The following is a 23,335-nucleotide window of genomic DNA, read 5'->3' on the forward strand; positions in this document are numbered from 1 at the left end:
TTTTTTTGATAGCAGCTTTATTTTTATTTTATTTTATTTTGAGACAGAGTCTTCCTTCGTAGCCCAGGCTGGAGTGCAGTGGCTCAATCTTGGCTTACTGCAATCTCCGCTTCCCAGGTTCAAGTGATTCTCCTGCCTCAGCCTCCCGAGTACCTGGGATTACAGGTGCTCAACACCACACCCGGCTAATTTTTGTATTTTTTAATTAGAGATGGGGTTTTACCATATTGGCCAGGCTGGTCTTGAACTCCTGACCTCAGGTGATCCACCTGCCTTGGCCTCCCAAAGTGCTGGGATTACAGGCATGAGCCACCACCCTCTGCTGATAACAGCTTTATTGAGATATAATTCATCCCATAGAACTCTCTCAGTTAAAGTCTACAATTCAATGGCTTTTAGCATAGTCACAAGGTTGTACAACCATAACTACCATCAATTTTAGATTTTCATCACTCCAGAAAGACACCCCATACCCTTTAGCTATCACCTTGCTATGGTTTGAATGTGTCCTCCAAAAGTTCATGTGTTGGAAACTCAGTCCCTCTACCCTCAAGAATGGATTAGTGTTGCCATCGTGGGAGTGGTTTTGTTATAAAAGCAAGCGCTCTCTGGCTCTCTTGCTCTTGTCCTCTTGCCATGTGATGCCCTCTGTTATGTTATGATACAGCAAGAAGGTCCTCACCAGATGCTTGTTCCATGCTCTTGGACTTCTCAGTCTCCAGAACCATGTACTAAATATACTTTTTTTCTTTATAAATTACCCTACCCAGTCTGTGGTATATATGCAACAGAAAACAGGCTAAGACACACTCACAATTTCCCCACCCCCTCCAACCCCCAGCAATCATGAATCTACTTTCTGTCTCTATGGTTTTGCCTATTCCAGACATTTCATGTTAACAGAAGCAAGCAATATATGTTGTGACTGGCTTCTTTCACTTAACGCAATGTTCTCAAGGTTCATCTACATTGTAGCTTGTATCAATACTTCATTTCATTTTATGGCCAAATTATATTCTGTTGTATGGAGATGTTAGTAGCAGTGAATCCATACGGGCCTGCAGCAACCTGAATCCTTGCCTCCTCAGAAGAGAGAATTCAACCAAGGGGCATAAGACAGAGTAAGAAACCAAGGCAAGTTTCACAGCAGGAGTGAAAGTTTATTAAAAAGTTTTAGCTGGGCATGGTGGCTCACGCCTGTAATCCCAGCACTTTGGGAGGTGGGCAGAACACCTGAGGTCCGGAGTTCGAGACCAGCCTGACCAACATGGAGAAACCCTGTCTCTACTAAAAATATAAAATTAGCCGGGCATGATGGCACATGCCTATAATCCCAGCTACTCGGGAGGCTGAGGCAGGAGAATGGCTTGAACCTGGGAGGTGGAGGTTGCTGTGAGCTGAGATCGCGCCATTGCACTCCAGCCTGAGCAACAAGAGCGAAACTCCGTCTCAAAAAAAAAAAAAAAAAAGTTTTAGAACAGGAATGCAAGGAAATAAAGTACACGTGGAAGAGGGCCAGTAGGGACCTTGAGAGATTCAAGTGCATGGTTTGACCTTTGACTTGTGGTTTTATATGTTGGCAGTCTGCATGTACAATGGCCTGCCAGCACTTGGGAGGGGCTGCATGTGAGTGTGTTTACTGAAGCTATATGTGTGCTCACTTGAGGTGTTCTTCCCTTATCAGTTGAGTGTTCCTAGAGGAAGGTCATGTACCAGCTAAGCTCAACCATTTTGCCTCTTCATGCACATGCTTAAGCCCACTCACCCACCTCCTGAGATCTTACTGGGAAGCTGCTGATCACCAGTTTCTGGCGTTTCTATCTACTGGGAGACTGTCTTTCCCTGGCATCGGCTGCAACCAATGATTATTTGAGAGAGACAGTTTAACAACTGCCTGATCATCTCCTGATGGGGCGGAGGAGCCTCTCCTTCCCTGCTCAGCTCTGACTAACTACCTGCTGCAACAGAGATACCACCTTTTGTATATCCATTCATCTGTTGATTGATAGTCAATGAATATTGAAGCCATGAAGTGACTCAGAAACTGGGGCACCTCTTTCCTAAAGTCTTCCACTCCCTACCCATTATCCCACCTCTAGAAAGAAATTGATTTTGCTTCCCTTGCTTGCCTTACTGTGAACAGAGTGACATTTTTAAAAGCCTACCTCTCTTTATTTACAGTGGGGTTTCTGTGCCTGTGGTCCCAGCTACTCAGGAGGCTGAGGTGGGAGGAGTGCTTGAGCCTGGGAGATGGAGGTTGTAGTGAGCAGAGATCGCGCTGTGGCACTCCAGCCTGAGTGACAGAGCGAGACCCTGTCTCAAAAAAATAAAAAATAAAAAAGATAGAATGGGCTTTCTTTTTGTTTGTTTTTCATTTTTGTTTTTGTTTCTTGAGACGGAATCTTTCTCTGTCACACAGGCTAGAGTGCAGTGGTATGATCTTGGTTCAATGCAACCTCCACCTCCTGGGTTCAAGCAATTTTCGTGCCTCAGCCTCCAGAGTAGCTGGGATTACAGGCTTCCGCCACCAGGTCCGGCTAATTTTTGTATTTTTAGTAGAGAGGGGGTTTTACCATTTTGGCCAGACTGGTTTGGAACTCCTGACCTCAAGTGATCCTCCCGCCTCAGCCTCCCAAAATGCTGGGATTACAAGCATGAGCCACCACACCCGACCTAAAGTGGCCAATGCACCTGGCTGGAATTTAGTCAAGCAATACTTTATGCCATTATTTTTTTCTTTTTTCAACAGTTTTAGTCAAACTATTTTGGATGTGTAGTTGGAATTCCCAATTTCTTAGGGTCCCAGTGAGACAGGAATAATACAGGGTGGTCACTAGAGAATAGAAAATTCCAGGTGGCAGTTTCACATGACTAGCAAAAGGAAACTTTTGCTGCAGAAGTAAGGGGCCAATAAGACCCTAAAAAACCAGGGTGTGGACCAAGCTGGCTAAGACAGACTGGACCCAACACGGTGCTGGATTTGATGTAGGTTTCACCAAGGACCTCATTATACACTCATTAATATACTAAATCCCACACCCATTGGGCATGGTGGCTCACGCCTGTAATCCCAGCACTTTGGGAGGCTGAGGCAGGCAGATCACCTAAGGTCCGGAGTTCGAGAACAGCCTGGCCAATATGGTGAGGCCTCGTCTCTACTAAAAATACAAAAATTAGCCGGGCATGGTGGTGGGAGCCTGTAATCCCAGCTACTTGGGACGCTGAGGCAGGAGAATCGTTTTAACCCGGGAGGCAGAGGTTGCAGTGAGCCAAAATCACGCCACTGCGCTCCAGCCTGGGCAACAGTGCGAGACTCCATATCAAAAAAAAAAAAAAAAGAAACCCAAAAGGTAGAAACCCCAAGTCCCATCGGACTCTGTCTTGAGTCCACCCATACTCCCCTTTCTTGAGTGTGTATTTTTCGCTTTGCAATAAATCTTTGTACTTTCATCATTTTCTGACACACTCTTGAATTCCTTCTCCAGATGGTGTCAAGAGCCTGGATACCAGCTGGGGTTGAGGTCCCACCAGCCTCCGTCTAAAAAAAAAAAAAAAATTACAGTTTAGGGGACATGCAGCCTCTGGCTCCAAGAGTTTGAACTTCCCCAAATTACTCCTGGAAATAACATCACTATTGTAAAACCTAAGATCAGAGCTTGGGAAATTTTCAGACCCTGCACTTGATGGATGGATCAGCTGATACCACCCAGACCGGTAATCTGGCTCAACCAGCTCTGCCATCCCACCCAGGAGCAGAAGACAGCAAGAAAAACTCACTTCGATCCCCTGATTCTATCTCCAACCTGACCAATCAGCACTCCCCACTTCCCAAGCCCCAACCCGCCAAGTTATCTTTAAAAACCCTGATCCCTGAATGCTCCGAGAGACTAATTTCAGTAACAGTAAAACTCCGGTCTCCCGCATAGCCAGCTCCGCATGAATTACTCTTTCTCCGTTGCAATTCCCTTCTTTTTTTCTTTTTTCTTTTTTTTTTTTTTGAGATGAAGTCTCGTTCTTGTCCCCCAAGCTGGAGTGCAATGGTGTGATCTCGGCTCACTGCAACCTCCGCCTCCCGGGTTCAAGCGATTATCCTGCCTCAGCCTCCTGAGTAGCTGGGATTACAGGCGCCTGCCACCATGCCCAGCTAATTTTTGTATTTTTAGTAGAGACGGGGTTTCACTATGTTGGCCAGGCTGGTCTCGAATTCCTGACCTCGGGCGATATGCCGGCCTTGGCCTCCCAAAGTGCTAGGATTACAGGTGTGAGCCACTATGCCCGGCCTCCCCTGTCTTAATAAATCCGCTCTGTCTAGGCAGCAGGCAAGGTGAACCCAATGGGCAGTTACATTATCGTTTTACAGGTGAGGAAGCTGAGGCTCAGGGAAGTGAAATAACTTTCCAGATAAAGTCATAGCCTCAAGTCCATGTTTATAAAATGCTGCCCTGGGTTATAGCATTCCCTACAGTAGTGGTTCTTTTTTTTTTTTTTTGAGACGGAGTCTCGCTCTGTCGCTCAGCCTAGAGTGCAGTGGCGTGATCTCGGCTCACTGCAAGCTCCGCCTCCCGGGTTCACACCATTCTCCTGCCTCAGCCTCCCGAGTAGCTGGGACTACAGGCGCCCGCCACCACACCTGGCTAATTTTTTTGTATTTTTAGTAGAGACGGGGTTTCACCGGGTTAGCCAGGATGGTCTCGATCTCCTGACCTCGTGATCCGCCCACCTCGGCCTCCCAAAGTGCTGGGATTACAGGCGTAAGCCACCGCGCCCGGCACCTTCTTTTTTTTTTTTAGAAGGAGTCTCACTCTGTATCCCAGGCTGGAGTGCAATGGCACGATCTTGGCTCACTGAAACCTCTGCCTCCTGGGTTCAAGCGATTCTCCTGCCTCAGCCTCCCGAGTAGCTGAGATTACAGGCGTGTGCCACCATGCCCGGCTAATTTTTGTATTTTTAGTAGAGACAGGGTTATACCATGTTGGCCAGGCTGGTCTCGAACTCCTGACCTCAGGTGATCCACCCGCCTCAGCCTCCCAAAGTGCTGGGTTTACAGGCATGTCACCATGTGTGGCCAGTAGTTGTTCTTAAACTGGAGTTGGGGGTTACGGAGATTAAGAACTTTCTGATAAGCCTGGGCAACATGGTTAGACCCATCTTTACAATAAATTATAAAATTAGCTGGGTGTGGTGGTGCGTTCCTGTGGTCCCAGCTATTCAGGAGGCTAAGGTGGGAGGATCACTTGAGCCCAGGAATTCGAGGCTGCAGTGAGCTATGATCACACCACTGCCCTCTAGCTGGGCAACAGAACAAGACCGTCTCTGCTGGACGAGATGTCAGGGCCCGGCACTGGCAAGTGGTGGGCTCGCAGGTCGTAGGTTAGTACAAAGAATTTACTGATGTCAGCATAGGTTTGAAAAAGAAAAAAATATATTAGAAAGAACACTGCATAAAAGCGCTGCGGGACTCCTCAGCATGAGAGGACTGAGTGCCCTGCGGTGAATTTTCCTTCCAGGTATTTATGGACCTTAAAGCAGGAGCTTAAGGGTAATTTGGACCATATTAGCTGTGTAGGCCACGATACGTGATTACATTTGTAGACATTTTGGTCCCTTAATGTCAGCCAGGGTTTGCACAATGAGTTTTGATATGCATGCATTTCAGAGATGTATAGGAATTCTTGTTACAGACCAGGCGCGTTGGCTCATGCCTGTAATCACAGCGCTTTGGGAGGCCGAGGTGGGCGGATCACTTGAGGTCAGGAGACCAGCCTGGCCAACATGGTGAAACCCCGTCTCTACTAAAAATATAAAAATTAGCTGGGCATGGCGGTACACGCCTGTATTCCCAGCTACTTGGGAGGCTGAGGCAGGAGAATCGCTTGAACCCAGGAGACCGAGGTTGCAGTCAGCCGAGATTGTGCTACTGCACTCCAGCCTGGGTGACAGAGCTAGACGCCATCTCAAAAAAAAAAAAAAAAAAAGAGAAGAGAAGAAAAGAAATCCTAGTTAGAAATTTTTTGAGGAAAGAAGCCTGGAACCAGATGCCAGCTTTAGGTTAAAAATAAATAAATAAATAAAAAGAAAGAAAGATCAACTCAACAAAAGGCAGATTAATTGGAGAAAAGGCATCTAGATTTATTAACGTGAACAAGAGGGGAAACTACAGAGGAATTACCCACACCTCAAGGGAGTGTGAAACATTAAATATCATTTTGAGATTACAGAAAGACAGGGGCTTCCATCCTGGCAAAACGGGTTATTGGAGGGAAAAAAGGAATTTGGGGGAAATAAAGGATTACTAGGGAAATGAATGGGTCAGGAACTAGAAGAGAAATTAACTTGTAAATAGATGTCTTTGAAATGTGAATGAGCCTGACATTATCTTATGAAAGGATCTGTTCAGGTGTGGTTACCTTCTGTGTCTTCCTTTCTGCAATAAAGAGATAACAGAGAGGGAAAGAAAGAACAATTGTTTCTAATTGGGGGGTCTGGATTTTAGGTGGATAAAGGAACTTCCTGTGCTTTTGGATGGGAGGGAATATCAGAGAGATCCTTCTTCAGTTCAGCGTATCAAAGCCTCCATTTCTGAGCCCCAACAAAACAAAAAAGCCAATCCTGCTGGTCTAAACTGGAATTCTAAACTGGGTCAGTCTGGCCCAGGAAGTGGGGCGGGGGGGCGGGGTGACTCACTTACAAACTGGAATCACCAGGTGGCGCTCTCGGCCCTGAACAGAATCTGGGTTCCACAGCCAAGGTCATCTCAGGGATAATAGTTGGTGCAAGCTTCATGGAACTCCAAAAATTTCAGAGATTATTGGTTCAACGAATAACCTTCACCTTCCAGAGGAGGAAAAGTGTCCCAGAGTTGTTAAACAGCTTGCTCAAGGTCACAGCTCATGGACAAAGGCAGGGCTCACCCGCTTGTCCAATCCTGATATTTCTAAAATGTATCACATATAGCTCCCAGACCCATTCAACAAAGCACAGTATGCACCATGCAGTATTTTCTTGTGATAATTCAAAGAATGAACTTTTGTGTATGAATATCGGGAACATTGGTGTCTGTCCTGTGCTATCTGTGGGAACTAGATAGATTAGAGGACCTTTATCCCACACACAAAATGCTCTGGACTACTGTTTCTTTGTTCCAACAGCTACCTACATTTTTGTTAATTCCTCCGAGGGGTGAGGCACTGTGCAGAGGTTTTGGTCCTTCTATTGGTCAGGTTTGTTTATGTTTCTCTGTGTCTTTAGGAAGAGATATTTTTCCATTCTCTGAGCTTCAGTTTATGGCAGTCAGTAAAAGTTGCCAGCAGGGAGGAGATAATAAATAATTGATAATTATTAATATAAATACACTTCTTGACATATTAGCAGCCAACAAACAGGAAAAAATGCTCAACATCATTCATCATCAGAGAAATGTAAATCAAAACCACAATAAGGCTGGCTGGCTCACGCCTGTAATCCTGGCACTTTGGGAGGTTGGGGTGGGAGGATGGTTTGAGGCCAGGAGTTTGAGAACAGCCTGGGCAACACAGTGAGTCCCCCATTTTGAAAAAAGCTCTGTCACCAGGCTGGAGTGCAGTGGCGCGATCTCGGCTCACTGCAACCTCTGCCTCCTGGGTTCAAGGGATTCTCCTGCCTCAGCCTCCTGAGTAGCTGGGACTACAGGCACCCACCACCATGCCCGGCTAATTTTTATATTTTTAGTAGAGATGGGGTTTCACCATATTGGCCAGGCTGGTCTCAAACTCCTGACCTTGTGATCCACCCGCCTCGGCCTCCCAAACTGCTGGGATTACAGGCATGAGTCACCACGCTCGGCCGCAAATAATTTTTGTTGCTGGCCTGTTTCTGTTCAAAATTCTGCAGCCATAGATTTATTCTTTTGGCTAAACATTGTGCTTCCTGGATTTATTTTAATTTTAATTTAATTTTTATTTTTAATTATTTATTTATAATTTTTTTTTTCAGACAGGGTCTTGCTCTCTCGCCCAGGCTGGAGTCCAGTGGTGTGACCCCAGTTCATTGCAACATCCGCCTCCCAGTTTCAAGCAATCCTCCTGCCTCAGCCTCCTGAGAGGCTGGGATTACAGGCGCCCTCCACCACGCCCAGCTTATTTTTGTATTTTGGTAGAGATGGGTTTTTGCCATGTTGCTCAGGCTGGTCCCAAACTCCTGACCCCAAGCGGTCCACCTGCCTTGGCCTCCCAAGTGCTGGGATTACAGGCGTGAGCCACCATGCCTGGCCTAGTTTTATTTTTTTAAAGAGGAAGTCTCTGGAGGAGGCAGCACACTAAATTACTTCAGGATAAACAGTTCTTAGATAAAGTCTTTGTTTGAGACAGGGTCTCACTCTGTCACCCAGGCTGGAATTGAGTGGTGTGATCACGGCTCACTGCAGCCTGCACCTCCCTGGCTCAAGCTATCCTCCCACCTCAGCCTCCCAAGTACCTGGGACCACAGGTGCGTGCCCTATGCCCAGCTAATTTTTTGTATTCTTTGTAGGGATGTGCTCTCACTGTGTTGCCCTGGTTGGTCTCAAACTCCTGGGCTCAAGCGATTCACCTGCCTATGCCTCCCAGGCGTGAACTCCCATGCCCAGCCGATCCTTAGTTTCTTGATGGCACCCAGAAGTTTGATCAGCCCAGGAACCCAAGCAGCCTTGATCACCAGGGCTCTCTCCTTTTGCATACCTTACTCAAAAAAGCTCCCAGCAGGCTGGGAGCAGAGGCTCACGCCTGTAATCCCAGCACTTTGGGAGGCCGAGGTGGGCGGATCACCTGAGGTTGGGAGTTTGAGACCAGCCTGACCAACATGGAGAAACCCTGTCTCTACTAAAAATACAAAATTAGCCAGGCGTGGTGGCGCATGCCTGTAATCCCAGCTACTCGGGGGGATGAGGGAGGAGAATCGCTTGAACCCGGGAGGTGGAGGTTGCAGTGAGCCGAGATCGTGCCGTTGCACTCCAGCCTGGGCGACAAGAGCAAAACTCCGTCTCAAAAAAAAAAAAAGAAAAAAATCTTTCTACATTTTTTATCTCACTCTAAAAAATACCACAGTTAACTATTTGTTTTTTATTCTTTCAGATATGCATTTATGTACATATGCATTATATGGACACATTAACATAAATATATTTAAAGACATAGATAAGGTCACACACTACATGTTGTTGTTTTTTGAGCCTCTCTCTGTCACCCAGACTGGAGTGCAGTGGCGTGATCTTGGCTTACTGCAACCTCCACCTCCTAGGCTCAAGTGACCCTCTTACCTCAGCCTCTGGAGTAGCTGGGACCACAGGTGAGGGCCACCACACCTGGCTAAATTTTGCATTTTTTGTACAAATGGGGTTTCGCCATGTTGCTCAGCTGGTCTCAAACTCCTGGGTTCAAGCAATCTGCCCGCCTTGGCCTCCCAAAGTGCTGGGATTAAAGATGTGAGCCACTTTGCCAGGCATGTATGTATGTGTATGAGTGTGTGTATATATGTGTGTGTATATATATATATATATATACACACACACACACACATACATATATATTTGTTTGTTTGTTTTGTTTTGTTTGAGACAGAGTTTCACTCTTGTTGCCCAGGCTGGAGTGCAATGGCATGATCTGGGCTCACCGCAACCTCCACCTCCCTGGTTCAAGCGATTCTCCTGACTCAGCCTCTCCAGTACCTGGGATTACAGGCATGCGCCACCACGCCCGGCTAATTTTGTATTATTAGTAGACATGGGGTTTCTCCATGTTGGTCAGGCTGGTCTCGAACTCCTGACCTCAGGTAATCCACCCACCTGGGCCTCCCAAAGTGCTGAGATTACAGGTGTGAGCCACCACGACCGGCCCACCTCAGCCTCTTGAATAGCTGAAACAACAGGCACCCTGCCACCCCACCAGCTAATTTTTGAATTTTTTCTTCTTTTTTTTTTTGTCATGGAGTCTAGCTCTATTGCCTAGGCTGGAGTGCAGTGGCATGATCTCGGCTCACTGCAACCTCCACCTCCCAGGTCCAAGCAATTCTCCCGCCTCAGCCTCCTGAGTAGCTGGGATTCCAGGTGTGTGTCACCATGTGCGGCTTTTTTGTATTTTTAGTAGATACAGGGTTTCACCATGTTGGCCAGGCTGGTCTCAAATTCCTACCCTCAAATGATCCACCTGCCTTGGCTTCCCAATGTGCTGGGATTACAGGTGTGAGCCATGGTGCCCAGTCATATTTCTGTATATGTGACATTTGCCCTTCTAGAACTTTGATCCAACTCTAGGGAATTGGCTTGGCAACCCTTTTTAATCTAATCTCTTTGTTTACTTACCTTGAACTTTTGGTCAAATGTTCACTACAGATAAACATGACTAAGTCAAAACAGTTGGAGAAGTAGAAATAAATTCCAGGTTGATGTGTTTTAATGAATACAGTTTCTTAATTTCCGGAGCTTGCGGAAAATTCCGGAGCTTGCAGAAACTCATAACATTTTGATAAGTAGAGATGGAGTCTGTTTTAATTAAGTGGCCAGTATCATACATAATTAATATTAGCTGTGTACACACGCAAGGGGCTTACTCACCTGCTACTTAGATGCTGCTCTCTTAGGCTGATTAACAAGCTCTTTGCATTGGTGTGTGCATCACTCATTTGCTACTTGCAGAAGACATCTTTTGCCTTTACGTTTCCTACCTGTATTTCTTTTTCTTTTCTTTCTTTCTTTTTTTTTTTTGAGACAAAATCTCACTCTGTCACCCAGGGAGTCTAGCTCTGTCTCCCCGGCTGGAGTGCAGTGGCACGATCTCAGCTCACTGCAACCTCTGCCTCCTGGGTTTAAGCAATTCTCCTGCCTCAGCCTCCTGAGTAGCTGGGATTACAGGCACCTGCTACCACGCTCACCTTTTTTTTTTTTTTTGTATTTTTAGTAGAGACGGGGTTTCACTATGTTGGCCAGGATGGTCTTGATCTCCTGACTTCGTGATCCACCCGCCTCAGCCTCCCAAAATGCTGGGATTACAGGGGTGAGCCACCACACCCAGCTGTAATTTTGTATTTTTAGTAGAGATGGGATTTCTCCATGTTGGTCAGGCTGGTCTGGAACTCCTGACCTCAGGTGATCTGCCTGCCTCGGCCTCTCAAAGTGCTGGGATTACAGGCGTGAGCCACCACACCCGGCCTTTATTATCTTATAATTTCTATAGATCAGGGGTTTGGGGATACCAGACCTGGGTCTTCCGCTGACCCAGGGTCTCGCAAGGTTTCAATAAGGTCTCAGCCAGGTCTCGGGTCTCATTGTCAAAACCTTAGTCAAGCTGGGAGGGCAAGCTGAGGTGTCAGGTGTCCAAATAGCCAATTAAGCAATAAGCCATTGGCCAGGTGTATTGGGCTCATACCTGTAATCCAAGCGCTTTGAGAGGCCAAGGCAGGAGGATCACTTGAGCCCAGGAGTTTGAGACCGGCCTCGACAACATAGTGAGACTCTGTCTCTCCAAAAAAAAAAAAAAAAAAAAAAAAAAAACAATAAAAAAATTAGCAGGGCATGGTGGTGCACACCTGTAGTCCTAGCTACTCAAGAGGTCGAGGTGGGAGGATCACTTGAGCCCACATGGTTGAGGCTGCAGTGAACCATGATTGCACCACTGCACTCCAGCTTGGGTGACAAAGCGAGGCCCTGTCTCAAAAAATAAAAAAAATAATAAAAAAGATAGAAAGCAATAAGCCAAAAATGAAAGAGGAAAGGCTTTATCACTTGACTGTGATGGTATAAGGGCTAAGAGTGGAAAAGTACTAGGTATGAAATCAGGGTAGGAAACAGTGGGTTCAAGGTTTCCCGCTCCCATCCCTAGAAGGGGGCCTTGGCAGAAGCCCCATAGAAGACCTCTGCCCAAGGCCCCAGATAAAGAGACCTAGGATCAAAGGTGCTGCCTGGCTAGGAATGCAAATGTGTTCAAGAGCATGGCCGGCCAGGGCCACTGGAGTCTCTGACTCCAGTTCCCTTCAGACACTGCAGTGCATAGGCTGGGCACCCAGTGTGGTGTGGGGAGGGCAGCTTTCCCCGAGGCCGGCCAGGGAAAGCCTTCATCATTGCCCACAGTCAGGCAGGCCTGAAGAATCTCACCTAGGTTTTCAGCCAGGACTCGTACTCCCCACTCACCTGAAAGCCGGGCTTTCGGGGGAAGGATCCACTTCCAAGGTCACTCACTGGTTGCTGGCAAAATTCAGTTCCTGGAGGGGTGTTGGGCTACGGTCTCAGGTCCTCGCTGGCTGTTGGCCAGAAGCCGCCCTTGGTTCCTTGCCACCTGGGCCTCTGCCACACGATGGCTTGCTTCCCAGAGGCCTGCAAGCTGAGAAAGTAATGGAGAGCGCGTGCTAGCAAGATGGAAGCCACAGCCTTATTTATGTATTTATTTATTTATTTTTTTTTTTTTGAGACGGAGTCTTGCTCTGTCGCCCAGGCTGGACTGCAGTGGCGCGATCTCGGCTCACTGCAAGCTCCGCCTCCCGGGTTCACGCCATTCTCCTGCCTCAGCCTCCCGAGTAGCTGGGACTACAGGCGCCCGCTACCACGCCCGGCTAATTGTTTGTATTTTTAGTAGAGACGGGGTTTCACCGTGTTAGCCACGATGGTCTCCATCTCCTGACCTCGTGATCTGCCCGCCTCGGCCTCCCAAAGTGGTGGGATTACAGGCGTGAGCCACCGCGCCCAGCCCACCACAGCCTTATACAACGGAATCGGAAGTGACATCCTGTCCGCACGTCATATGTTGTTTGAGATAGGGTCTTGCTCTGTCGCCCAGGCTGGGGCGCAGTGGTGTGATGATGGTTCACTGTAGCCCTGAACTCTTAGGCTCAAGCCATCCTCCAGCCTCAGCCTCCTCAGTAGTTGGGACTACAGGTGTGCCACCACACCTGGCTAATTTTTTAATTTTTGGGGGAGATGGGGGTCTTACCATGTTGCCCAGGCTGGTCTTGAGCTCCTGGGCTTAAGCAATCCTCCTGCCTCGGCTTCCCAAAGTGCTAGGATTATAGGCGTGAGCTGCTGCACCTGACCCAGCCTTACATAACTTAATCAGAAGTGACATCCCGTTTACATGTTATGTTATTGATTAGAAGCAAGTTACTCAAGGGGAGGGGAGCACACGGGGCCATGAATACCAGGACGTGGGGTTCACTGGGTCCATCTTAGAAACTGTCTACCAGAATGGTTATCTGGAAACATGAAGGAGGAGTCTACTTGAAATTGAAACCACCCCACAGGTGGAAACACAGGAGGGAGACAGATACCTAAGGTATTAGGTAAGTCCCTGGATCCAGACACTCCTGAAGCCAATCACCCACCAGCATCTCAGTACATGAACAAATTACTTTTCTTCTTCTTCTTCTTCTTTTTATTTTTTTATTTTTTGAGACTGAGTCTCGCTCTTGTTGCCCAGGCTGGAGTGCAGTGGTGCGATACCAGCTCACTGCAACCTCCGCTTCCCGGGTTCAAGCAGTTCTCCTGACTCAGCCTCCAAAATAGCTGGGATTACACGTGCCCACCACCGGGCCTGGCTAATTTTTGTATTTTTAGTAGACAGGGTTTCACCATGATGACCAAGCTGGTCTCAAACTCCTGACCTCGGGTGATCCACCCGTCTCAGCCTCCCAAAGTGCTGAGGTTACAGGCATGAGCCACTGCACCTGGCCTTCTTCTTTTAAAATACCAGTTTGTCCAGGCGCAGTGGCTCATGCCTGCAATGCCAGCACTTTGAGAGGCCAAGGCAGGAGATCACTTGAGCTCAGGAATGTGAGACCATTAAGAGCCTTGTGGGGCTGGGACTACAGGCCCATGCTACTAGGCCCAGCTAATTTTTTTTTGTATTTTGTGTAGAGACAGGGTCTCACTATGTTGCTCAGGCTGGTCTCAAACTCCAGAGCTCAAGCGATCCTCCTACCTTGGCCTTACAAAGAGCTGGGATTACAGGTGTGAGCCACCATGCCCGGCCCTACAAAGCTTTTGATGGCCCCTCTGTAGTCTCTAAGTATCACCTCCATTCTATATTAGCTCCTACCATTCACAACAGCTGTTTCTCCTTAGGCACTAGTGCTGATTAAAAAGTCGAATCTGACAATGCCATCCACATCAAGCTACCAATGACTTTCTTCACAGAATTGGAAAAAACTACTTTAAAGTTCATATGGAACCAAAAAAGAGCCTGCATTGCCAAGACAATCTTAAGCAAAAAGAACAAAGCTGGAGGCATCACGCTACCTGACTTCAAACTATACTACAAGGCTACAGTAACCAAAACAGCATGGTACTGGTACCAAAACAGAGATATAGACCAATGGAACAGAACAGAGCCCTCAGAAATAACACCACACATCTACAACCATCTGATCTTTGACAAACCTATCAAAAACAAGAAATGGGGAAAGGATTTCCTATTTAATAAATGGTGCTGGGAAAACTGGCTAACCATATGTAGAAAGCTGAAACTGGATCCCTTCCTTACACCTCATACAAAAATTAATTCAAGATGGATTAAAGACTTAAATGTTAGACCTAAAACCATAAAAACCCTAGAAGAAAACTTAGGCAATACCATTCAGGACATAGGCATGGGCAAGGACTTCATGTCTAAAACACCAAAAGCAATGGCAACAAAAGCCAAAATAGAAAAATGGGATCTAATTAAAGAGCTTCTGCACAGCAAAAGAAACTACCATCAGAGTGAACAGGCAACCTACAGAATGGGAGAAAATTTTTGCCATCTACCCATCTGACAAAGGGCTAATATCCAGAATCTACAAAGAACTTAAACAAATTTACAAAACAAATCAAACAACCCCATCAAAAAGTGGGCAAAAGATATGAACAGACACTTCTCAAAAGAAGACATCTATGCAACCAACAGACACATGAAAAAATGCTCATCATCACTGGCCATCAGAGAAATGCAAATCAAAACCACAATGAGATACCATCTCACACCAGTTAGAATGGCGATCATTAAAAAGTCAGGAAACAACAGGTGCTGGAGAGGATGTGGAAAAATAGGAACACTTTTACACCGTTGGTTCAACCATTGTGGAAGACAGTGTGGCGATTCCTCAAGGATCTAGAACTAGAAATACCATTTGACCCAGCGATCCCATTACTGGGTATATACCCAAAGGATTATAAATCATGCCAGTATAAAGACACATGCACATGTATGTTTATTGCGGCACTATTCACAATAGCAAAGACTTGGAACCAACCCAAATGGCCATCAATGATAAACTGGATTAAGAAAATGTGGCACATATACACCATGGAATACTATGCAGCCATAAAAAAGCATGAGTTCATGTCCTTTGGGATGAAGCTGGAAACCATCATTCTGAGCAAACTGTCGAAGGACAGAAAACCAAACACCGAATGTTCTCACTCATAGGTGGGAATTGAACAATGAGAACACTTGGACACAGGGTGGGGAATATCACACACTGGGGCCTGTCGTGGGGTTGGGGGAGGGATAGCATTAGGCGAAATACCTAATGTAAATGATGAGTTAATGGGTGCAGCACACCAACATGACACATGTATACATATGTAATAAACCTGCACATTGTGCACATGTACCTTAGAACTTAAAGTATAATAAAAATAAATAAATAAAGCTTAAAAAAAAGGTACACCCACTTTGGAGAAATGTTTGACAGTTTCTTACAAAATTAAACACCATATAATCCAGTAATCCTACTCCTGGATATTTACCCAAGAGAAATTAAGATACATGTCCACAAAAAGATATACTAGAATGTTTACAGGAGTTTATTCATAGTAGTAAAAAAACTGGAAACAGCCCAAAGTTCATCAACAGATAAAAGGATAAACTGTGATTTTAAAAAAAATAAGTGGCCGGGCGCAGTGGTTCATGCCTGTAATCCCAGCACTTTAGGAGGCCGAGGTGAACGGATCACCTGAGGTCGGGAGTTCGAGACCAGCCTGACCAACATGGAGAAACCTCATCTCTACTAAAAATACAAAATTAGCCGGGCATGGTGGTGCATGCCTGTAATCCCAGCTGCTTGGGAGGCTAAGGCAGGAGAATCGCTTGAACCCGGGAGGCGGAGGTTGTGGTGCGCCGAGATTGTGCCATTGCACTCCAGCCTGGGCAACAAGAATGAAACTGTGTCTCAAAAAACAAAACAAACAAACAAAAATAGTCAACTCTGATTGGTCCAGGTCATGCTGTTGAGTCAGGCCATTTCATAGGTGGTTTGAGAAGCCTTTGAATTGGATGAAGGTGGGAGGGGTGTCAGTGGAAGGGCCCCTGAGGATGTCCTAGGGGCTGTGGGCATGGCAGGTATTCTGCAGCTTGTCTTGTTTAAGACACAAAGCAAGCCATTCTTCACAAAGATTGTCATGATTCTGGTTTGAATGATCACTAATTTTATTTTTTTTGAGAGAGGGTCTCACTCTGTCACCCAGGCTGGAGTGCAGTGGCGCGATCTTGGCTCACTGCAACCTCCACCTCCTGGGTTCACGCCATTCTCCTGCCTCAGCCTCCCGAGTAGCTGGGATTACAGGTGCCCACCACCACGACTGGCTAATTTTTGTATTTTTAGTGGAGACGGGATTTCACCATGTTGGCCAGGCCGGTCTTGAACTTCTGGCCTCAAGCGATCTGCCCGCCTCGGCCTCCCAAAGTGCTGGGATTACAGGGGTGAGCCACTGCGCCTGGCCTGAATGATCACTAATTTAACATTGCTAAAGTCTGCATGATGAGGCTTTCCCGAGTTTACGCATGATTTGACATACCTGGTTTCCTTTTGGATGTGTGGTCGTCTGCATCAACCAAGGACTGTCGGAGATTAAGTGAGAACATAGAGGGTATTTTTTTTTTTTTTTTTTTTTTTTGAGACAGAGTCTCCCTCTATCACCCAGGCTGGAGTGCAGTGGCGCGATCTCGGCTCATTGTAAGCTCCGCCTCCCGGGTTCACGCTATTCTCCTGCCTCAGCCTCCCGAGTAGCTGGGACTACAGGTGCCCGCCACCACGCCCGGCTAAGTTGTTTGTATTTTTAGTAGAGACGGGGTTTCACCGTGTTAGCCAGGATGGTCTCGATCTCCTAACCTCGTGATCCACCAGCCTCAGCCTTCCAAAGTGCTGGGATTACAGGCGTGAGCCACCGCGCCCGGACATAGAGGGTATTTTTAAATGCTTTGAAATTCTCAAAGAGAAAAGGGAAAAAAAAAGTCTCAATAGGAAAAATGTGACAAACGGAATCCCGGCGACCTGTTAATGGTTAATTCTCACAACAGTGTCTCAGTGCATATCCTTGGCCAGCAGCCAGCACCTCGGTCCCCTGGAGTGGCAGTTCCAAGTCACTGGCATGGCCACAACAGTTTCTGAACTCGAGCTAAGGACAGAACTTTGTTTTTGTCCAAAATTCCCTCATTATTATTTTTGTTTTGTTTTGTTGTTTTTTGAGACGGAGTCTTGCTGTGTCGCCCAGCCTGGAGTGCAGTGGCACGATCTTGGCTCACTGCAACCTCCGCCTCCCGGGTTCAAGCGATGCTCCTGCCTCAGCCTCCTGAGTAGCTTGGATTATCCCAGGCGCTCACCACCACGCCCGGGTAATTTTTGTATTTTTCACAGAGACAGGGATTTCACCATGTTGGCCAGCCTGTTCTCCAACTCCTGACCTCAGGTGAACCACCCGCCTCGGCCTCCCAGAGTGCTGGGATTACAGGCATGAGCCACCGCCCCTGGCCCCAAATTCCCTCATTAAACAGTTTCTCTTGCAGAAGCACAATGAGTGAAATTGGCATGAAGCCATTTCACTAAATAACCACATCAGTGAATTTCCTGGTCCTCACTCAACAAACAAAAACAACTGGTGGTTTTCCAGGCTGGTTCATTTGAGTCTACCCTCAACCAGCACCTGCCCAAGCTTCTGGCCTAGAAGAGGCACACGTGGCAGAAATACAAGCAGACGGCAGAATAAATAGCATCAATGAAAAGAGTCAAACTTTGTAAAACATTTGAAGAGATTCATTCTGAGTCAAATATGAGTGACCATGGCCTATGACCCAGCCCTCAGGAGACCCAGGGAAAATGTGTGCAAGGTGGTTGGACACAGCTGGGTTTTATACATTGCAGGGAGACATGAGACAGCAATTAAATACATATAAGATATATATTGGGGCCAGCTGTGGTGGCTCACATCTGTAATCCTAGCACTTTGGGAGGCTGAGGCCAGTGGATCACTTGAGCTCAGGAGTTCGAGACCAGCCTGGGCAACGTGGCAAAACCCTGTCTCTACTAAAAATACAAAACGTAGCCAGGCATGGTGGCACACACCTGCGGGAGGTGGGAGGACCGCTGGAGCCGGGAAGTTGAGGCTGCAGTGAGCCGTGATTGCACCACTGCACTCCAGCCTGGGTGACAGAGCGAGACCCTGTCTCAAACACAAAACAAAACAAAACAAAACAAAACAAAACAAAAAAACAAAACCTTGGTTTAGAAAGGTAGGATAACTTGAAGTGGGAGGGCTTTCAGGTTATAGGTAGATTTTAAAATTTTCTGATTCACAATTGGTTAAAAGAGTTACTATCAATAGAAAGGAATGTCTGGGTTATGATAAGGGGTTGTGGAGTATCCCCCCCAAAAAAAAGCCTCCAAGTAGCAGGCTTCAGAGAATATATTGTAAATATTTCTTTCTTTTTTCTTTTTTTTTGAGATGGAATCTCACTCTGTCGTCCAGGCTGGAGTGCAGTGGCACAATCTCGGGCTCACTACAACCTCCGCCTCCCAGGTTCAAGCAATTCTCCTGCCTCAGCCTTCCTAGTAGCTGGGATTACAGGTGTGTGCCATCACGCCTGGCTATTTTATTTTATTATTTTATTTTATTTTATTTTATTTTATTTTAATTTTATTTTTGAGACGGAGTCTCGGTCTGTCACCCAGGCTTGGAGTGCAGTGGCGCGATCTCGGCTCACTGCAAGCTCGGCCTCCCAGGTTCATGCCATTCTTCTGCCTCAGCCTCCTGAGTAGCAGCTGGGACCACAGGTGCCCGCCACCACGCCCAGCTAATTTTTTTGTATGTTTTTAGTGGAGACGGGTTTTCACCGTGTTAGCCAGGATGGTCTCGATCTCCTGACCTCGTGATCCGCCCGCCTCGGCCTCCCAAAGTGCTGGGATTACAGGCATGAGCCACCGCGCCCGGCCACGCCTGGCTAATTTTTATATTTTTAGTAGAGACAGGTTTCACCATGTTGTGCCACTGCATCCCAGCCTCGGCGACAGAGCAAGACTGTCTCAAAACAAACAAAAAATAAAGTGTGTATTTTTTGACCTAATTAATAAAAGTTCCCATGTAATAAAATTTTCCAAAAACAGTCTTTCAAGTTTTTAAAGATATATGTATAAGGAAGTTCATTTCAGTGATATTTGTAAAAGGAAAACAATGAACAAAACAGAGTACATCAAGAGGCTTGTTGAATAAATGATGGTGCATCTAGAGAAGTCATTAAAATGTTGAAGACTTTTTTTATTTTGCTTTATTTTTGTAGAGATAGGGTCTCACTCTGTCGCCCAGGCTGGAGTGCAGTGGCACAATCACGGCTCACTGCAGCCTCAAACTCCCAGGCTCAAGTGATCCTCCTGCCTCAGCCTTGGTAGTAGCTGTGACTACCGGCACATCCCTCCATACCGGGCTAATTTTTGTATTTTGTTGTAGAGATGGGGTTTCACCATGTTGTCCCGGCTGGTCTCAAACTCCTGGACTCAAGTGATCCTCCTGCCTCAGCCTCCCAAAGTGCTAGGATTAGAGGCCTCAGCAACCGCACCTGGCCTGACGACCTATTTTTGATATGACTATTTTATAATGGTAGGATATAATGCAATCTTTTGGTGAATAAACAACAAAATCATCTATACTCATATTATTTTTAAATAGGAAAGATATACCCTAAATGATTACTGACGTTTATAACAAAGTAGTGGGATAGAAGGGGATTTCTACTTCTTTGGGTTTTTTTCTTTGATTTTCTACAATGAACTCGTATTATTTCCTAGTAAGAATGTAAATCAAGAGACAACTTTTTATTCCATGGGAGGAATTATCAATGTCAAGAGTCAAAACAGATAAGAACTGTTAAATAGTGCTTATTGGCTGGGCGCGGTGGCTTATTGCCTGTAATCCCAGCAGTTTGGGAGGCTGAGGCAGGCGAATCATGAGGTCAGGAGTTCGAGACCAGCCTGGCCAACATGGTGAAACTCTGTCTCTACTAAAAATACAAAAATTAGCTGGGCGCGGTGCCGCCTGCCTGTAATCCCAGCTACTCGGGAGGCTGAGACAGGAGAATTGCTTGAACCCGGGAGGCAGAGGTTGCAGTGAGCTGAGATCACGCCACTGCACTCCAGCCTGGGCGACAGAGCAAGACTCCGTCTCAAAAAAAAAAAAAAAAAATAGTGCTTATCATATTCAGCAAAAAGCAAGCAGCTTGTGGTCACAGTAAGAGCAGTTTTGGTATGAATAAATATGGTTTAAAATTGTTTTTCAAAAAACAAACATAAAAAACCAAAACCCAAACATTTCTCAGGAATTTTGTGAGGACGAATTTTGTGTGTGGAGAAAACGGACAAATACATTTCCCCATATATTTAAATGCTCAAAAGTTCACTCAGGTGCTCTCACCAGGCAATTACTATGACAAGTGATCACGTGCGAAAATACAGAGAATCTGGCTCGTTTTAAAGTGCAGGAGAAAAGCAAGGCCTTACTGTTTCTGAATTTGCTGTGTGTGTGTGTGTGTGTGTGTGTGTGTGTGTGTGTGTGTATGAGAAGATGGGATCTGGCTCTGAAGCGCAGACAGGAGTGCAGTGGCAAGATCGTAGCTCACCGCGGCCTCAAACTCCTAGATTCAAGAAGTGATCGGCCGGGCGTGGTGGTTCACGCCTGTAATCCCAGCACTTTGAGAGGCCGAGGTCAGGAGATCAAGATCATCGTGGCTAACACGGTGAAATCCCGTCTCTACTAAAAATACAAAAAATTAGCCGGGCGTGGTGGCGGGCGCCTGTAGTCACAGCTACTCGGGAGGCTGAAGCAGGAGAATGGCGTGAACCCGGGAGGCGCAGCTTGCAGTGAGCCGAGATCACGCCACTGCACTCCAGCCTGGTCAACACAGAGAGACTCCGTCTCAAAAAAAAAAAAAAAAAAAAGTGATCCTCCCGCCCCAGCCTCCGGAGTAGCTAGGACTACAAGCATGCACCACTGTGTCTGGCTTTTTTCTTTTTTTCTTTTTTTTTAAGTTTTCTGTAAAGACGGGGTCTTGCTACCTTGTCCAGGATGGTCTCAAACTCCTGGGCTCAAGCGATCTTCCTGCTTTGGCCTCCCAAAGTGCTGGGAATACAGGCATGAGCCACCGCGACAGGCCATGTTGCTGAATTTGGAAAGTGGAGCAAAGAATCATGCAAAAAATTAAGAAAACCAAAACGCAACCAAGGCGAATTCAATTGCATTTTTTTTTCCCAGCGACACTTTCTGAGACACGAACCTCTCTCTTCGGCGAACCTATTCCAGGGCGCCCTTCATTTTCATTTCTTGAAACAACAGCCTTGCAGGCCGAGCCGCTGTTCCCGAGAACTCGGCAGCCACAGGGAGCAGGTTGCATGGACCCAGGAGCGCGAGAGGCCCTGCTCTGCCAGCTTCGGCCAATCAGAGGCCAGGGAGCGGTGGGCGTGACGTGGGGCGGTGCGCGGGGCTGGGCGGCGGCTGAGGCGCGTGCTCTCGCGTGGTCGCTGGGTCTGCGTCTTCCCGAGCCAGTGTGCTGAGCTCTCCGCGTCGCCTCTGTCGCCCGCGCCTGGCCTACCGCGGCACTCCCGGCTGCACGCTCTGCTTGGCCTCGCCATGCCGGTGGACCTCAGCAAGTGGTCCGGGCCCTTGAGCCTGCAAGAAGTGGACGAGCAGCCGCAGCACCCGCTGCATGTCACCTACGCCGGGGCGGCGGTGGACGAGCTGGGCAAAGTGCTGACGCCCACCCAGGTACACCGGGCGGCGGGCGTGCAGCGAGCGGCACGGCGCGGAGGCCTGTGCCGGCCTCCTGGGTGGGACCCAGCGGAGACAGGGCCAGGGGCGGTGGGGAGGTTCAGCCTGCGTGTGTCGAGGCCCCCCCAGGCCAGAGGTCCCGGGGTCCATGTCCCATGCCTGGGGGCCACCCCGAGCACCGGGAACCCGGCCTGTGGCGTGGCCAGGCAGGTTCGGCCTGCGGCAGAAATTCATTCACTTTTCCCGGGCTTCAGACCCAAGAGGGACCTAGGTTCGGAAACAGGCCGGATCCCCCTCTCCCCCCACAGGCCAGGGCGCTGGAGAGGGACGTCGCCGGGACAGAGTAGGCTGTGGCTGCCCGGACGCCCCCAGAGCTTCCCCTAGGGCCTCAGCATTTTAGGCCTGGTTTTGGAGGGCTGAAGCCTCACCCGAGAGCCTGTGACGCATTATGTAACTGGCGATGAGCGCGCCGGCCGATTTCTCCTTTGTTAAATGGGTCGAGAGCGTCCAGCCGGTACGCTGGAGGGCAACGGTTTAGTTTTGGTCTTTGACCTCCCACGCCCACGGCTGGGGCTGCCGAAAGTGAAGAAACTAGATTTGCAGACGCCACTGCTAGTTGGTTATGAAGCTCCGGGCAACAGCGTAAAATAAACTGCCCCGACCTTACATTGTTTTGGATGTTCACAGAATTTAATTTTTTTGGATGTTTAAATATGTAGTGCCCATCTAACACAGCCTCCCTTTTCCTGCTCCCTGCCCGCCTCTCATCACCTTGGCTTTCTCCTTTTCTTTGCACTTTGAAACGTACAGTTAATGCAGATTTCACTTCAGCAGGCTCCAGGTAACCTCCTGATCACCAAATCCAGAAACGCTGTGATTCCGGACAGACAATGTAAGGGTGTCGTTGAGAGGGGACTCAGTGCCAGGGTTGGAATCCCAGCCTTATCTGTTTCTCTTAATAGTGTGCTGGGATACTAGCCCCATGGTGTTGTTGGGACTGAAATAATATACAGCCTGGGCAACATAGCAAGACCCCAACTCTACAAAAAAAAATTGGCCAGGTGTGATGGTGTGAGCATGTAGTTCCCAGCTGCTCAGGAGGCTGAGGTGGGAGGATCGATCGATTGAGCGCTGGAGGTTGAGGCTACAGTGAGCCTTGATAGCGTCACTACACTCCGGCCTGAGTGACAGAAGGAGACCTGGTCTCAAATAAAATACATAACGTATATAAAACTCCAGCTCCTGGCTCTTACAGTCAATACAGGGTCATTGATTTTATTAAAAATCTATTCTGTTTTGTCTTTGGAGAGTCTGAGATCAAAGAAAGAGTAT

General features: G+C 47.5%; 1 protein-coding gene and 1 long non-coding RNA gene across 11 annotated transcripts in view, besides 11 other annotated features; one reads left to right on the forward strand and one right to left on the reverse strand.

Annotated features, from left to right (window-relative positions):
* Positions 1–21,648, reverse strand: LOC101928274 (uncharacterized). Of its 10 annotated transcripts, XR_007063476.1 has the most exons (6): positions 21,513–21,648; positions 21,295–21,398; positions 12,137–12,326; positions 7,157–7,274; positions 6,689–6,831; positions 1–3,538 (listed from the first exon to the last, which is right to left on the reverse strand). It is a non-coding gene; the product is annotated as an uncharacterized LOC101928274 (long non-coding RNA). The 10 variants fall into 10 exon arrangements; XR_945407.4 differs by lacking the exon at positions 21,295–21,398; XR_429192.5 differs by lacking the exon at positions 21,295–21,398 and having other exon boundaries at positions 6,685–6,831.
* Positions 5,727–6,439: an enhancer, noted in NCBI's record as "OCT4-NANOG-H3K27ac hESC enhancer chr12:118557876-118558588 (GRCh37/hg19 assembly coordinates)". NCBI's record gives its function as "activates a minimal SCP1, AML or CMV promoter by ChIP-STARR-seq in naive H9 embryonic stem cells {active_cell/tissue: H9 hESC(naive)}" and the evidence as "EXISTENCE:reporter gene assay evidence [ECO:0000049][PMID:30033119]".
* Positions 5,727–7,151: a biological region, named in NCBI's record as "OCT4-NANOG-H3K27ac hESC enhancers GRCh37_chr12:118557876-118558588 and GRCh37_chr12:118558589-118559300".
* Positions 6,200–6,494: a silencer, noted in NCBI's record as "tiled region #8543; HepG2 Repressive non-DNase unmatched - State 6:EnhF, and K562 Repressive non-DNase unmatched - State 5:Enh". NCBI's record gives its function as "represses a minimal TATA promoter and a strong SV40 promoter by Sharpr-MPRA in HepG2 and K562 cells {active_cell/tissue: HepG2 | K562}" and the evidence as "EXISTENCE:reporter gene assay evidence [ECO:0000049][PMID:27701403]".
* Positions 6,440–7,151: an enhancer, noted in NCBI's record as "OCT4-NANOG-H3K27ac hESC enhancer chr12:118558589-118559300 (GRCh37/hg19 assembly coordinates)". NCBI's record gives its function as "activates a minimal SCP1, AML or CMV promoter by ChIP-STARR-seq in naive H9 embryonic stem cells {active_cell/tissue: H9 hESC(naive)}" and the evidence as "EXISTENCE:reporter gene assay evidence [ECO:0000049][PMID:30033119]".
* Positions 6,540–6,834: an enhancer, noted in NCBI's record as "tiled region #576; K562 Activating DNase unmatched - State 5:Enh". NCBI's record gives its function as "activates a minimal TATA promoter and a strong SV40 promoter by Sharpr-MPRA in K562 cells {active_cell/tissue: K562}" and the evidence as "EXISTENCE:reporter gene assay evidence [ECO:0000049][PMID:27701403]".
* Positions 7,865–8,576: an enhancer, noted in NCBI's record as "H3K27ac-H3K4me1 hESC enhancer chr12:118560014-118560725 (GRCh37/hg19 assembly coordinates)". NCBI's record gives its function as "activates a minimal SCP1, AML or CMV promoter by ChIP-STARR-seq in primed H9 embryonic stem cells {active_cell/tissue: H9 hESC(primed)}" and the evidence as "EXISTENCE:reporter gene assay evidence [ECO:0000049][PMID:30033119]".
* Positions 8,577–9,289: an enhancer, noted in NCBI's record as "H3K27ac-H3K4me1 hESC enhancer chr12:118560726-118561438 (GRCh37/hg19 assembly coordinates)". NCBI's record gives its function as "activates a minimal SCP1, AML or CMV promoter by ChIP-STARR-seq in primed H9 embryonic stem cells {active_cell/tissue: H9 hESC(primed)}" and the evidence as "EXISTENCE:reporter gene assay evidence [ECO:0000049][PMID:30033119]".
* Positions 11,700–11,994: an enhancer, noted in NCBI's record as "tiled region #10186; HepG2 Activating DNase matched - State 5:Enh". NCBI's record gives its function as "activates a minimal TATA promoter and a strong SV40 promoter by Sharpr-MPRA in HepG2 cells {active_cell/tissue: HepG2}" and the evidence as "EXISTENCE:reporter gene assay evidence [ECO:0000049][PMID:27701403]".
* Positions 12,170–12,706: an enhancer, noted in NCBI's record as "H3K4me1 hESC enhancer chr12:118564319-118564855 (GRCh37/hg19 assembly coordinates)". NCBI's record gives its function as "activates a minimal SCP1, AML or CMV promoter by ChIP-STARR-seq in naive H9 embryonic stem cells {active_cell/tissue: H9 hESC(naive)}" and the evidence as "EXISTENCE:reporter gene assay evidence [ECO:0000049][PMID:30033119]".
* Positions 21,575–22,075: an enhancer, noted in NCBI's record as "H3K27ac hESC enhancer chr12:118573724-118574224 (GRCh37/hg19 assembly coordinates)". NCBI's record gives its function as "activates a minimal SCP1, AML or CMV promoter by ChIP-STARR-seq in primed H9 embryonic stem cells {active_cell/tissue: H9 hESC(primed)}" and the evidence as "EXISTENCE:reporter gene assay evidence [ECO:0000049][PMID:30033119]".
* Positions 21,780–23,335, forward strand: part of PEBP1 (phosphatidylethanolamine binding protein 1) — a 9,461-nt gene continuing 7,905 nt past the window's right edge. Inside the window, exon 1 of the mRNA NM_002567.4 lies at positions 21,780–22,000. Within this exon, the coding sequence (NP_002558.1) occupies positions 21,866–22,000 (135 nt within the window). The 5' untranslated portion in view covers positions 21,780–21,865. The remainder of the gene's footprint in view (positions 22,001–23,335) is intronic.
* Positions 22,068–22,157: a silencer, noted in NCBI's record as "silent region_4923". NCBI's record gives its function as "represses an Ori minimal core promoter by ATAC-STARR-seq in GM12878 lymphoblastoid cells {active_cell/tissue: GM12878}" and the evidence as "EXISTENCE:reporter gene assay evidence [ECO:0000049][PMID:35858748]".

The sequence above is a fragment of the Homo sapiens genome, chromosome 12, assembly GCF_000001405.40.
Source record: "Homo sapiens chromosome 12, GRCh38.p14 Primary Assembly".
In the NCBI taxonomy this organism is placed as follows: domain Eukaryota; kingdom Metazoa; phylum Chordata; class Mammalia; order Primates; family Hominidae; genus Homo; species Homo sapiens.